Source organism: Homo sapiens, chromosome 6 (assembly GCF_000001405.40).
Source record: "Homo sapiens chromosome 6, GRCh38.p14 Primary Assembly".
In the NCBI taxonomy this organism is placed as follows: domain Eukaryota; kingdom Metazoa; phylum Chordata; class Mammalia; order Primates; family Hominidae; genus Homo; species Homo sapiens.
Window position 1 is genome coordinate 140,653,275 of NC_000006.12, and position 15,869 is coordinate 140,669,143.

Below are 15,869 nucleotides of genomic sequence, written 5' to 3' on the forward strand. Positions count from 1 at the left end.
CACAAACACACACACACACACAGTTGGAAAGTTCTTTCCAATTGGTCCTTTTCCGTTTATTTGGTTATTTATATTTCTATTATTAGACCTCCAATGAGTATTTCAATATATACATTTATTTTTTTAAAAAAGGTCAATGCATTTTATTGAAAACAATGAAAAAGATTTTTACATTTACTATATTTTATTATATTTGATTATACTTTCATTGCAACTTATATCTCTAGTTATTTCTTTATTTTATTATAAAACTGATATCTATATCACCTTGCATATGTAAGGAAAGGGTGAGGTTAAAGTACCCCCATAAAGAATCATTTAGTATTTCTTTTTATCACTCTTATGTTTCCATTACTCTTATTCTTATGTCACCCTATGTGGAGTTAAGCATAGTTGAGTTACCAATTAGATACTTATTAGCCAAAGAAGTTAATATTAAGTTAGAAACTCTCTGCTGTCTTTCTTTATTTATTTATTCAGTCAGGCATTTATCCATTTGCAAATTAATTCATTTATTCAAAGCTGTTTAAGTGCCATCACCATTGTAGGTATTAGGTGTTAAGATATAATAAAAATAAAACAAGAAATTTAAAAGTCTGACTTTGTGGCTGTTGCATTCTATTAAGAGACTCAGACAAAATGCATTGCAGATGAACAAATAAAGCATTGAGTGTGTTAGCTGGTGACAAGAAAAATAATAAAGCAATGAAGGTAGGTGTCAGTGTCAGGGATAGAGTAATTTAGATAAGGGGAAAGGCAAGTCTTCACTGGGCATTAGACAAATATGTCAAGATCTGAAGAAGGTGAGAGAGTGCACCATGATATTATCTAAACAAAGATTGTTCCTGGAAGAGGAAAAGGTGTTTTTACCCAGTGATGTTTGCTGTGTAAGGGTCTGTTATCACATCAGATCCCAGAAAACTAGAAATGACTCATCCATTGAATTAAGTTAAGCATTTGACATAACATGATTTCATTATGTAGAATGATTTTAAATGCATTTGAGTCATATTTCATTATTAGAATTAAACTTATGTTTGTGTTCTATTATATCAGTGATATTGTAGTAATATAGTAAAAAGAAAAGTTTTGGAATACTATTCCAGTCAACATAATTCTGAGGAAGTTGTTTGAAAATGGCAGGTTACATTTCCTCACAACAGTGTCACTACTGCTACACAAATAAAAAAAATCAATTTTTAAAAAGTGCTGTAATCTGCTACTTCACACTAATGCCATATGGTCATCATTTTATAATTAATTGATAAATTAGCATCCATGTATACAAGTATATTGGTATTCTAACATAATATTTATTTTTGCAGAAGTCATTATACTTTCCAAATGATTTTACATATTTGAGTTTTATAATACTCCTGCAAGTAAAGTGGCATCTGTTTTTAATAGATCTCCAGTGGAAATTTCAAAAGATTTAGATTGCCCAGTTTGAATGTAAAGAGAAAGTATCAAATCAGAGCTAGATACTCATGCTCTCACACATTATATGTAGTGTTCATTCTAATAGTCCTTGTTATGCACATATTTTAAAAGAAATTTCTCAAATACAACATATCTGAATATGAAAAAATGCATTATTTTTATTTGTGAAGATTATAAGGTTTTTAATTTCTGTCCTCATTAGAAATTATCCTAGTTACTAGAAATAGAAAAAAATATACATTTTTCTTTTTATGACAAGTGGGATGATTTAATAGATTACATAAAATGTGAAAAATGTGACATAAAAATGTGCACAAGCTGTTAGAATGAGTATTTACTACTTAAATTTAGAGTTTTATGAGACAAACATTTTTAGATGCATGATATAGAACTTGTTAAACCCCATCAAATTTCAATGCAAAAGGAGGGCATTCACACATCTATGTTTAAGTGTTACATTTTTTATTTTAAAGTTGCTTTGGGAAATGAATATTTGTGGGGGGTTTTTCCCATTAATGAAAGATAAGCAATTTTGTGTTCATCTTGCCTCATTGATGTATACTTTCAGATCTTAAGGCTTTAGTGATTTTTCCAGAGCCTTAGGACAGGACGTGTATCTCAGTTAATTTTTGTTTCCATAAGAGAATACCTGAGACTGAGTAATTTATAATGAACAGAAATTTATTGTTTCAGAATTCTGGAGGGTAGGAAGTCCAAGTTTGAGGTTCAGCATCTGGAGAGGATCTTCTTGCAGTGTCAACCCATGGCAGAAACAGAAAGGCAAGAAAAGGCTGAACTTGCTATTTTACAATGTCACCAGTCTCACCCATGAGGATAGAGCCGTCACGGCCTAATCACTTCTTAGGGTGCTCACTTAATACTGTGACAATGGGAATTAAATTTCAGCATAAGTTTTGAAGTGATCTAACATTCAAATGACAACAACCTACTAACCTCAATACTTCATCAAAAGGTGAATGGGGGAAACTGTGTTAGAGAATGTGAAGGTTAATACTGAGTGTCAACTTGACTGGATTGAAGGATGCAAGGTATTGTTCCTGGATGTGGCTGTTAGGGTGTTGCCAAAGGAGATTAACATTTGAGTCAGTGGACTGGGGGAAGACAACCCACACTTAATCTGAGTGGGCAGAATCTAATCAGCTGCCGGTGCAGCTAGGATAAAAGCAGGCGGAAGAACGTGGAAAGACTGGACTGGCCAAGTCTTCTGGCCTCCATCTTTCTCCTGTGCTGGCAGCTTCCTGACCTCGAAGATTAGACTCCAAGTTCTTCACCTTTTGAACTTTTGGACCTAGATCAGTAGTTTGCCAGGGGCTCTTGGGCCTTTGGCCACAGACTGAAGGCTGCACTGTCGGCTTCCCTACTTTTGAGGTTTTGGAGCTCAGACTGGCTTCTTTGCGCCTTAACTTGCAGGCAGCCGAATGTGGGACTTCACCTTGTGATCCTGTGGGTCAGTACTCCTTAATAAACTCCCTTTCATATAAATGTCTATCCTATTAGTCCTGTCCCTCTAGAGAACCATGACTAATACAAAGGAATAAATGTAACATCTTCTGCATTCAAATTTTAGTACAATAATTGATAAACCAACTTAAATTTTTCCAAAGGTTTATCAGTGAAAATACACAGTGTTTTAGTTCCCTTTGGCTTCTGTAATAGATACTACAAACTTGGTGGTTTAAAACAACAAAAATTTATTCTCTCAAATTTTAGTTTTGATTTCAGCTTTTATTTTAGGTTCAGGCAAGGTTGTGTAGAAAAGAGAATATTTACACACTTTTGGTGGAAATGTAAATTAATTCAGCCACTGTGGAAAGCAGTTTGGAGATTTCTCAAGGAACTGAAAACAGAACTATCATTTGAACCAATAATCTCATTACTGTGTAGCCACCCAAAGGAAAATAATTTGCTCTACCAAAAAGACACAGGCACTCATATGATCATTACAGCACTATTCACAATAGCAAGGACACAGAACCAAACTCTCACAGTTATGGAAGCCACAAATTCAAAATCATTCTCACTGAGCCAAAATCAAGCTGTTGCCTGGTCTGTGCTTCCTCTGGAGCTTTAGGGGAAAATCCTTTCCTTGTCTCTTCAGGCTGTGGGCATTGTTTGACTTGTGGCTACATCACTCCAGTTTTTGCCTCCCATTATTTTGGTTATATTGCCTTCCCTTCTGTGTGTGTCTAAATTTGCTTCTGCTTCTATGTTATAAAAATGGCGGGGCTGGATTTAGAGCTGATAATACAGGATAATCTTCCATGGCAAGATTCTTAATTTAATCACACCTACAAAAAACCTTTTTCTTTATAAGGTAATATTTACAAATTCCAGGTGTTGGGGAACTCCAGGTCCTAAAATTTGTCCTAGAACCCCAACACCTAGAATTTGTAAATATTACCTTATAAATATGTTTGAGTGGCCAGTATTCAGCCTATTACAACTAGGTGAAAAACAATACCAATAACTCAAAACTTTATATACACAAGAGAATAGAAATAAATGTGTGCAACCTGGTTCTCCTACTACTCCATTGAACTGAATTATAGAAATGCAAATTTTACCACCTTACCAGTAGATACTTAGTCCAAGAAAAATAAAAGTTATCAGTAAAAAGATATAGTATCCCCCCATAAACATCAAATGATAATATATTTTAATCACATCAGGTTTTATAATTTAAAAACACTGAAAATCAAAATGAGTTTCCAATTTTAATCTATTAAATTAGCACTTAATGAGAAACAGGGTATTTTATGTTGCCTAGGATAGGGTGCAGCTAAACTCTCAGATGTTGTTCATGGCATTTTACATTGGCATAAACCTTTTGAAAATATTTTTAGCTTATACATCAAGAGAAAAATGTTTTCGCCTTTGACATGTTAATTAACTTCTGGGAATTCTTACTGAAGATTTATTCTCACATACAGGAAATCTAAAAGAACAAATACATTTTTAATAACAAAACTTTGGAAATAATCAAATGTCTTGGAAGTAGGGTATCAGTTATGGCGTAATCATTCAATTGAGACAAATCCATTAAAATCACAGTTTTAAAAATAATATATCAAAGAGCAGAGAATAGCAAGCTGTGATTATAATCAGATGACATAATGACTGATTTGAAAAACCTATTTTTATATTTTGTGTTTTTATAATGAAAAAACAAATTTAAATTTACTTCCCTCTTCTGCCTAATCTCTTATCTTTAACTCATAATTTTCAAAATTTTCAATTACAATGTTTCTGAATCCATTCTTATACACACATACAGTTTTGGAAAATTCATTATTACACTGATACTTTTCTTCATTTTCTTGCTGGTGCCCTTCCGTGAAACTAGTAAATTCATTGTTTAGCTCATGTCTTGTCATTAAAAGCAGAAAAAAATACTCTTCATGAATTCCAACATTCAAATTTGTACAGCTAAAGCTTTCTCAAACCAAAGACAGATATAGACTTTCATTAGAAGGCTTAAGTTGCATTTGGTAACTGCATAAGTATTGATTGGCTTCATATATTATGAATAATTTCAAATATATCTTTTTACACAATAAAAAATATAGGATTTTCTTTGCTTTCTTTCTCCTGTGAATAAATTTTATTATTCCAATGTTATTTTTAAAATAAGTTTATTTTTAACCATTTTCAATAGCCCTGGAATAATTGGCTTATTAATAATTATTTTGTTGAATTTTTGTTTAAATGTAGAAACCTCCTGAAGTCATATTCTAGTCTGACATGAACTTTTTAAAAATACCTCTAGTGATGGACATTCTACCAATATTTGGAGAGGTTTATTCCAGTGTTTGATTACACTCAAAGTTTTTCTTTTCATCTAAACTCCCATAACACATTTGTTACTATTAAAAAAAACCTTCTGATCCATGAAATTGTACTTAATATAATGTACATAAAATGTAATTAGCTTTTATATAAGTGCAAACCATTACTGAATTATTTCTGTTTCCTTTCACTCCATAATACAAGTTTTATTTTGTAATACTTCTCTCTGTTGGGTTTATTTTTCTTCTTTTATTGTGTTGGATTTCTCTGTTTCTACTAATATTGTGCACCTACAAGTGTCTAGTAGGTATTCATTAATTTATAGAATACTAAGCTTGAAAAAGGGTTTTAAAGGCTATTCATTGTAGTTGACTGCAAGAACACACACTTTATGTCAAATTCAGAAGAGACATTTTCTGACCACATATTGGATGTTGGGATGCTGGCCATCACTCACCTTCACCAAGAAGGAGGATGGATTCTTTTTTTTTCCTCTCCTGGGTGCAATGAAATTTTCTTAAATTCTTCTGGGTTAATAATTCATTTAGAATATTCTCCCATCTGCCTTGGGGGAAAATATTGTGCTTTAAAAAAAAGCCACTTTTTAATTCTCTACAGATTATAGTTTTTATACGGCAAAAGAAATTGGTATAAACAACACTACTTTTCCTATATGAAAAACATGTAGTGGCTGTCAAATATAGTTCACTTTTTGTACGTGTGTTTGAAAATGGAGTTAAAGTTTTATTTTATACCTATGTCACAAGTCATTTATTTGCTTCGCTTTAGCACATAGAAACATCAAGTTAAAGTGCATATTAAAATAGGAAACAAAGCATGTGACCATATGATGATACAATTGCGACCTGAAAAATCCTTTCCCATGTTGGTTGGTCATATAATATTTTTCAACTTTCTTTTTGAAGTTCATATGTATTGTCCTCTCATCTGTCACAAAAAAACTTCCCTTTAATTGACAGGAAGGAAAAATAATAACTTTTAAAAATGTAATGTGTATTATACAGTTTTTTCAAGTAGTATAATAGCCTTAAACACATAAACTTCATCATTAATCTCCAATCTGATTGTCATCATTAAGATACCCTAGAAAATAAGAAGCAAAAAATTTAAAATCATATGTGCCATTACTCAAGCAAACATCTAATATCATTTTCATCAGTACTTTCCTAGAAAGTGAATTCAAATATAATTTATAAATATACAAATACACTAAGGAACATGTTCTAGATATTTACAATGTAAATGCATAACCACCTGATTTTAATATGACAATACATCTTTTTACTTTTTGCTCAACTCCAAGAGTCTTGTAGTATTTGGGAACAGATTATAAAAATGTAGCATCATAAAATTAACTCTACAGCATTTATATGAATTAATAGCTTAAAATGAGAAAACATTTACTTTTATTACATATATAGAGAAAATAAAATTCATGGAATCTCTGTGATTTAAATTCATTTTTAAAGATTTGAAATTAATTCTCCCTTTCCACATATTTTACTACTTGAATGTAGTACAGGAAAATTAATTTCTTTGCTACTGCACTCATGAAAATAAGTAAAGGAAAGAGATGTCAAATTGAAATAAAAACAGGATTCAATTGGGGGGAGAAGATATTTCTTTTCCTTTCCTTTTCCCCATGTATATATATTTTCAGCCACAAATTAATGAAGTGCCCCTGTAAGGCATGTGAATAGGGACAGAGGGGACTCAGAGAACAGGGGTGCCTAAGCACTCACTTGCCAGTTTCTTCAGAGTTCTGGATGTTCTTTAAGCCTTCATTCAGTCAAAGGACTGGAGGTCTTATTATTAACTGACATCAGGATAAGCTTGGTTTAGACTTTTGTCTAAAAACTAATGCCTACACATGTTTCAAAAGTCCTTGTCTCAATCCGAAGCCAATCTGTAAGGGCTATATATCATATGATTTCAACTCTGACATTCTGGAAAAGGCAAAACCACGGAGGCATTAAAATGATCAGTGGTTGCCAGGAGTTTGTAGGGGAGGGAGGGATGAATAGGCAGAACACACATGAGTTTTAGAGCATTGAAACTTCTCTGTATGATACTATAATGATATTAGGTTGGTGTAGAAGTAATTGTGGTTTTTGCCTTACTTTTATGGCAAAAACCACAATTACTTTTGCACCAACCTAATACATACATGTCATTATACATTTGCCCAAAGCCATAGAATTTACAACACCGAAAGTGAACGTAATGTAAACTATGGACTCTGGGTGATAATAATGTGCTAATTAGGTTCCTCCATTGGGGGAAAAATGTACTACTCTGGTGGGGAATGTTGACAATGGGGGAGGCTATGCTTGTGTGGGAGAAGGCATATGAGAATCTCTTTTATCTTCTGCTCAATTTTGCCGTTAAGCCTAAAAGTGCTCTAAAAAATTAAGTCCATTTTTAAAAATGTATCACCTCTATGTATGTTTTCACTTTCAGTTGGCTTTATCTTCACTATATTTTTGTGGAATTCCTAGATAAATCAGCTTAAACATTACAGCCTTACTATTACTGCCTGCAATTCTATCTACTGTTGTATTTCATAGAAAAAAATATATATATAAAAAACAAGTCACATTTCTTATGTGAATAGATGCCACGTCTCACGTAAGTAGATCTCATGGCTAATGTTCTTCCTTGATTCTCACAAAATTAATGTTTTAGCTCCATGTTCTTTATAGTTCATATTCACTTTATTTTCATGCTTCATCCCCAGTATCAGTGTTACAATGACAAAGTTAAAAGTATGAATTTGTTGTTTCCAACTTGCCTTCCTAGCCTACGCAGATGATATGAACTTGATATATTGCCATAATTATCCTTACTTTTAGTGAAATGATTTCCACTACTTTTACAGCGAGCTTCCAAGTTTCTCTAAACATAGAATTTGCTCTATTGACTAAAAGTGGTCCCCAGACACTGTTTTCTGTGTATTTTTGTATCCCTCACAGCATTTGTTTTGCTGCTAAGACTGATAAGATTTTTTGCATGAGGGTATGTGCTACAATCAGAAGAAAACTTAAAAATATGTAAAAAGACAATCCAGTACTATTTTAATGATTTCCAAATCAACACGGAAAAAAAAGTACAAAATAATATATGGAAAGTATTCTTTGCTCTGAGAATATAGGAGAATATGCAGGAAACTCTGTGGCCCTCTGAAGTGATCAGTGAGTGTCTAATGAATTATTGTCATACAAACACATACTTCTATTATCCTGTAGTTCACAAATTCTAATTGTGTCCTTTCCTTTCTACGGTGATAAACACTACTGTGAATGATTCACTACTTTAATATTCTTTAGCTAATTTTGAACTAAGATCACTATTCTTGGGAATTTGGGGAATTTGGGAAATTTGGGGTTCTGATGAGTAATTCTAACATTATAATACATCTTAAACTACTGTAAAATCCATTTATACTAAAGATCAAAGACACAAAAGATGCATCGTTTCTGAGTGTATTAAAAGCTTTAAATGTTTAAATATTACATTCAAAGTTCAAAAATTTTATATTTTCGGTGGGAAACTTATACTTAAAGGCTATTGTAGTAAAATACAGATGTGTGGATAGATAGATGGATGACAGATAGATATATAGATAGAAAAGCATACAGAGTTATGATTAAATTCTGCTTTACATTCAAATGACCCATGAGGGAATTTAACTTATTAATTTGTTTTCCCTTTATTCATATTTTAGACTAAAAACACATTACTAGTAAGGTAGATGGGGTTATTCCTAATTAAGACACAAATATAGTAATTACAGTTTATATGCTATTATCCTGAATCTACACTGGATGAGTTTAAACAGCCAAACAGCCATTAATTTTACTGTTCAAAGAAATTCTCATAATCTTTTTAAAATGTCATATAAAATATTCATTTCTAAATGCCCTATGGTGATTTCTGAATTTATTTAAAGTGGGCTGTTGATAGCTCTTTTTATAAATAAGCAATTACACTGAATATATCATGGCCCATCACATTATACATTCTATAATTTCATGGATGAAAGGCCTACAGCTGATCTGCATAAACGCAGTGCATATCACAGCAGGTGAAGGGTTTGATTACACAGGATAATCAGTGTTATTATTTATAGTAACTATTTATATCTGCTATTTATTAAATCTCTACAAATCAGGTATCTATTTCTTCAAGAGATATATTCAAAGAATATTTATGATAAGATATAGGCTTTTCGAATATTTTACACAATGGCCTGAATATGGCCTTTTACATCTGAATTCCTAGTTTCAATTGCTGTTAAGCTACTCAAAATTAGGTTTTAAATAACCTTGGCTTATAAGACATTTTGGAAGTTATGTGCTTTATATATTGAGTAGTAAAAAGGATTTTCAAATTTAATTTATTCATCTAATTCTTCTAATTTTGATGAGGTCAATTTTGGTACCCTACCCCTACTTGCTGTGACAAATTGCATTTCTTTGTCCACTTATTTTAAATTATTCTCTTAATAGTATTTATGGAGCTAGGAGCTGTGCTGTGTACTGAGGATAGGAAGATGTCAAAGAGACAAAAAAGCTCTTATTACTATTATATATCATTCATCTAATTATAGTAGTTTTTCATGCTATGAAGGAAAAGATACAAAAAGAACATACAATAATGAGAGCTAATCTGGTATAGGCGGTGATAGATATTTGACCATATGTGTAAGGACTATTCAAAGTCCAGGGAGGGTGGGTGTATATGTGTATATGCGTGTGTCTGCAGGAGGAGGAGAATGTTCAAGGAGAGGGTCATTGCAAAGAGAAAGAACAAAAGGTACAAATATCCTGAGACCACAGTTTGTTTAATAAGGATCCTCAAAGGAAGAAACAGTGAAAAGAGCCAATATTTGAAGAGTTAATTGCTGAGTACTTTCCAGACACATTTATAGACACAAAAAACTAAATGTACACCTAAAAGAAAAACATTTATACTTAGTCACACTTTAATGAAAAGGAAGTACACCAAAGACAAAGAGATATTTAAAACAATGAGAGAAAAAAAAATAAAGACAACTTTGAAAGAATGACATACTGATTGCAGTTTGTACATCAGCAACAGAAGCCATGAGATATCATCATAAGTTCTTCACAATTTTGAGACAAAGTAATAGTAAATCTACAATTATTTACTTAATAACAAGAAAAAAATCCTTCAATAACAAAAGCAAAATAGAAACATTTAAAGATAAACACAAATAGACTTTATCGAGAACATATATTCCATGAAAAAACACCGAAAACTTACTGATATGATTTGAGTCAGTGTCTCTGCTGAAATTTCATGTTGAATTGTAATCCCCAATGTTGGAGGAGGAGCCTGGTAGGAGCTGATTGAACCATGAACCAAGAACCTTTCTGTTCTTGTAATAGTGAGTGAATTCTCATGAGATCTGGTTGTTTATAAAAGAGTGTAGGACTTCCCCCTTCTCTCTCTCTTCCTCCTTCTCCAGCATGTTAAGAGGTGTCTGCTTTCTCTTCACCTTCTGCCATAATTGTAAGTTTACTGAGGCTTCCTCAGTCATGCTTTCTGTTCAGCCTGGAGAACTGTGAGTCAATTAAACCTCTTTTCTTTATAAATTACCCAGTCTCAGGTAGTTCTTTATAGCAATGCAAGAATGGACTAATACACCTATTCCTCAGGTGGAAGTGTAAATTATCCAAATGAGAAAACTGGAATATAAGGAAAATATTCAGAAAACAACTGGCAAAAATTTAAGCACATCAAAACAAATAATATAAAATCATAATCAAACTGAAGTCTGTTATTATGGAGTTAAAGAAAGAACAGAGCTAAAATATCATACATAACTTTTTTTGTATGTCTGTGTTCAACCATCCAACATGTTTTTAATAAGCTAAAAGGAAAAGAATAGCATACTCAGGTATTTACTATTTCTGTTCCTCTGTTATTGCCAATGTTCAAAGATATCTTCTTTACTGTTTATTTCTTTTCTGTTTAAAAAACTTCCTTTAGCCATTCTTTTAGAGTACGCTTATTGGTGATAAATTCTCGTAGTCTTCCTTCAGCTGGAAAAGAATTATCAAAAAATTGTGCATAATTTTATAGTCAAATTACCATAACAAGTTAAAAAAAGGAATACTTAAAAATGTTCAATTGGGAGGCCGAGGTGGGTGGATCACAAGGTCAGGAGTTCCAGTCCAGCCCGGCCAAGATGGTGAAACCCTATCTCACTAAAAATAAAAAAAAATTAGCCGGGCATGTTGGCGGGCACCTGTAATTCCAGTTACTCGAGGGTGAGGCAGAGAATTGCTTGAACCTGGGAAATGGAGGTTGCAGTGAGCCAAGATCGCACCACTCACTCCAGCCTGGGTGACAGAGCAAGACTCCATCTCAAAAAAAAAAAAAAAAAAAAAAAGTTCAAACAGCCCATAAGAAGGCAAAAAATGTGAAACACAGAAAACAACAAATAAAATGAAGGAAACAAACAGGAAGCAGGTAATAAAATAGTAGGCCTAAATTCAAACATACTATACATGTGCCTGCTAATTGCATTAAATGTAAATTGTCTATACTTATTAATTAAAAGTAACAGATTAGTAAAATGGATCTTTAAAAAATGACCCAACTTTATACTGTCTACAAAAAAAACTCAATTTAAATGTAGTGATATGAGACCTTAAAAACAAAAGGCTGAAAAAAACATATACTGTAAAAATAATAATAAAAAGTAAACTAAAATGACCATATTAATATCAGGCAAAGTGGATTTTAGGGCACAACGTAAATATCATGAACAAAATAGAAAATTACTTAATTATAAAATTATGGTAATTTATGATAAAAAGTCACCAGTATAACAATCCTAAATATATATTTACAAGAAAAAGACTTTAAAACACATAGGAAAAAAACTGATGAAAACAGAATGGAGGAAAATAAAAATTTTAAATTAAAATTGAAGACATCAAAACTTATCTCTTCATAATTAATGCAACTACTAGACAGAAAATCAGCAAAGATATAGAATACCACCATCAAACAATGAAATCTAACTGGCATGTATAGAATACTTCTCCCCAAACAGCAGAATGCATATTCTTCTCAAGTTCACATGCCATATTCACCAATATAGATTATATACTGGCTTATAAAACAACATATTTAAAAATAATAAAATTATATAAAGGAATAACAACATTTATATTTTTCTGGGAATTAAACAACACAACTCTAACTAATTTGTGTTATGGGCTGAATTGTGTCCCCCCAAAAATCATAATTTGTCTGAATCCCTAGTACTTCAATATGTGACTGTATATGACAATAAAGCTTTTAGAGATGTTGTAAGTTAATGACAGATGTCATTATAAAGATGTCATAAGCTTTCAGGATATGCCTTAATCCAATCTGACTGGTGTCCTTATAAGAGAGGAGACTGGTATGCTTAGAGAGACACCAAGGGTACTTATGCACAGAAGCATGGCCATGTAAAGAGGCAAATCAAGAAGGCTGCCATCTGCAAGTCAAGGAGAGAGGCCTCAGAGGAAACTAAGCCTGCAGGGATCTTGATCTTGAACTTCCAGCCTCCAGAACTGTAAGAAAATCAATTTCTTTTGTGTAAGCCACCCAGTCTGTGGTATTTGTTATGGCAGCTCTAGCAAACTAATATATGCATTAAAGAGCAATTTCTAATGTTTTTAAGGAGAACTAGAAAATACATTAAAGTGACTAGAAATGAAAATGCAACATCTCAAGATTTGTGGAATTTAATTAAATCAGGGTATAGAGGGTAATTTATACTACTCAGTGCTTATGTCAGAAAGGGGGAAAGATTTCAAAACAAAAACCTAAGTTTCTATTTCAAGAAATTAGGAAAATAAGATGAAAATTTACCCAATGTAAGCAAAAGAAAGAAAAAGAAGCAGAAATCAATGCAATGAGAGAGAGAATGAGAGAGAAGAGAGAGAGAATGAAACCCAAAGCTGGTTCTTTGAAGTATTCAATAAATTTTTCAAATGTCTGGCAACTCTGACAAGAAAAAAGAGAACGAGCAGATGACCAATATCAGGAGCTAATGGAGGAGGTATCGCTACAGACCCTATCAGACATTAGGGTATAATAGGGGAATGCCGTAAACAATCTTTACACATAAATTCAAACATGATTATCAAAGTAACTTGGTTCTTGCATATGAAAACACTGAATTTTAAAACTATAATCCCTTATAGTTTTTGGTAGTCTGTTTTGAACACAAAGCCTAGAGGCCATTTTTCTCTATTTTGTGTCTTCCCTCCATTAAAAAACAAATAAACAAGAAAAAAAATAAACTTAAAGCCGTATTCTGAAATCTTAATGGAGTGGATATAAGGAGTGTGGATAAAGGATTACAGAGAGGGAAAAATAAGTCTAGTTCACTTAAATTTTTATTCTATAACTTTAAAACCCTTCTGCATTGAGGAGCAGAAGGACCTATCACTTTCCCTTAAGTTTATTCAATTGTAGATGTAGATACATGCATCCTCCACTTTTTCCTTTGAATCATAAGCAGACAGATACGTAGAATTTTCACAAAATTTTTATACCAGTTTGCCAGTAATCTCCTTTGTAATAGGAAAAAGGAGGTTCAAGGGAAGTGGCCCTGGTGACTTTTAGAGAGTCTGTTCTTTCACCAATCACTCTCCATACCTTATGCTCCTCAAGCCATCACATTCTGGTCAAATGCATCTTTCTGTGCTTCTGGCTTCCAGGAAAATCTAAAGGGTGGGGACTTATGTTAAAATTTCTCTTCCTCTTGTACATCTTAGAACATGCAAAGAACCATGAAGTTGTTCTATACATAGAAGCTATATATATTAGGCTATAGGCTTGAGAGATTAGAACAGTATCTTTTGCAGCTCTGGATGGAGTTTTTCCTTCTCATTTTTCTTATCTAATCATACTTAATTTATGTACAGAATGGCTTCTTCTGGGTCAAACAAGGATGGAGATTTATATGTTCTGCAGTTAAAACAGTTGTGAGACCAGGACCCCATGAAACATATTCAACTCAATAGGTGTCTCCTGTTATAGATTTTAGGGTAGGATATAGAGATACAGTACATTTGCATATGTGAAAATTAGAAATTTCAATGTAAATATTAGCTCTAAACACCTTTAATAATGCACAGAGAAGCAAACGGGAAGTGGTACTCTTCGTACCTCTTCCCAGGTCCTCAAAAATCCAAATCTAAATAACCAGGAAGCTTTTAGAAATGTGCCATTATGGACACATATTTTAAGTACTTCAGTGCTTACAAATCTGGAAATAATGATAATACAAAAAACCTCGCATTGAATCAATGTTTGTTTCTTTAACCATTAGCAATACCAACATTTAAAAAATATTCATGCAGCTAGATGGCAGATAAGACTTCTGCTTATAAGTCCTGACTGAACATAACTTGTATTATAATGCTATCACTTGATTAATATATGTACATAAACCATAGATCATGACAATTTTTGTTGACATGGAATATAGCAATCCTTGGGATAAAGTGATTCCACAAAGCCATGGTCACAGGACATGCATTGGCTCCTCTTCTTTGTGTGTTCCCCTTTAGTGTGATACTATGGCTGTCAAAACCAACATGAAAATCAGTCCCAGAAATAAAAGCATGCTTTGTGCACTGAAATCTGGCTGAGATATTATATGGTTCACATTTAATTATTCCAATCATTCACTATTCTTAGGGATTACACTTGGCTCTGTAATTCCATTCCAGGTACAGAAAGAATTCTAACTACAAGAACAACAAAAGAAAAAGCAAAGAGAATGGTTGATATAGCTTTAGGTGCCAATCACCATAAAGTCAATCTGATGCTATAAAATACCTTCTAAAAACTACGTTTTCCACATATAGTGCTTTTCTGATTCCTAAGCAAATATTTTCAAGGAAAAGGAACCTCACTCATTTTCAAAGAAATCATTCAGTAACCAAGTCTTGTGATCTATTTTCATCAGTGTGAACAAATCAGAGCATAAACAAAATAATGGACATTATATGAGACTCAGAATATTATTTTTCATGTAGTAATATCCTATATATATGTATTCTAGTGATTGTTTATACCTAGCTTTGGCAATTCTAATATTCTTTCTACCTCTTGGGATAATTATAGGTCAGCAAAATCAAGAATACCCACCCTGAACTTTTTTCACTTGTCTGTCATATAGATCATCTACATTCAATGCATTCAAAAGGTCAATGCCCATTGAAAACTCAGAATATTTTTGGTGATATGTATGTATAAATTGTTTTATGATCCAGATTCATCTTTTCTAAGATAGCATATGCTCTAAAAATATTTTGCAAGTCTTTTCCTGTATGCAAAAATCAATTAAATATTTATTGTTCACTCTATTTCATATTCTATTCTATTTGCTGAAAAATAAAGGTAGGAATAAAAGTATGCCTTTAGCATCAGAGAGCTTATAGTCTAGGTGGGCAGAAACTCAAACGACAACTTTAAAAGTATCAGTGTAGGTGACATGGTCAACGTATGACCCTGGAACTAAAAAAAGCTGTTAAATGGGAAGGCTTATTCCTTCCTGTGCC

At 32.6% G+C, this 15,869-nt stretch overlaps 2 long non-coding RNA genes across 7 annotated transcripts in view, besides 1 other annotated feature; one reads left to right on the forward strand and one right to left on the reverse strand.

Moving 5' to 3' along the window:
- The window catches only part of LOC105378026 (uncharacterized), a 55,690-nt gene extending 45,006 nt beyond the window's left edge, over positions 1-10,684 (reverse strand). The window contains exons 1-2 of one of the 2 annotated variants that reach the window (XR_001744389.2): positions 10,555-10,684; positions 5,705-5,812 (exon numbers count right to left, since the gene is read on the reverse strand). This is a non-coding gene — a long non-coding RNA (uncharacterized LOC105378026). The remainder of the gene's footprint in view (positions 1-5,704; positions 5,813-10,554) is intronic. The other variant, XR_943070.3, reaches the window with a different exon arrangement.
- Positions 1-15,869, forward strand: part of LOC105378027 (uncharacterized) — a 246,946-nt gene that overhangs the window by 114,785 nt on the left and 116,292 nt on the right. The window lies entirely within an intron of this gene.
- Positions 2,605-2,805: a silencer, noted in NCBI's record as "peak6159 fragment used in MPRA reporter construct". NCBI's record gives its function as "represses an SCP1 promoter by STARR-seq MPRAs in K562 erythroleukemia cells {active_cell/tissue: K562}" and the evidence as "EXISTENCE:reporter gene assay evidence [ECO:0000049][PMID:32103011]".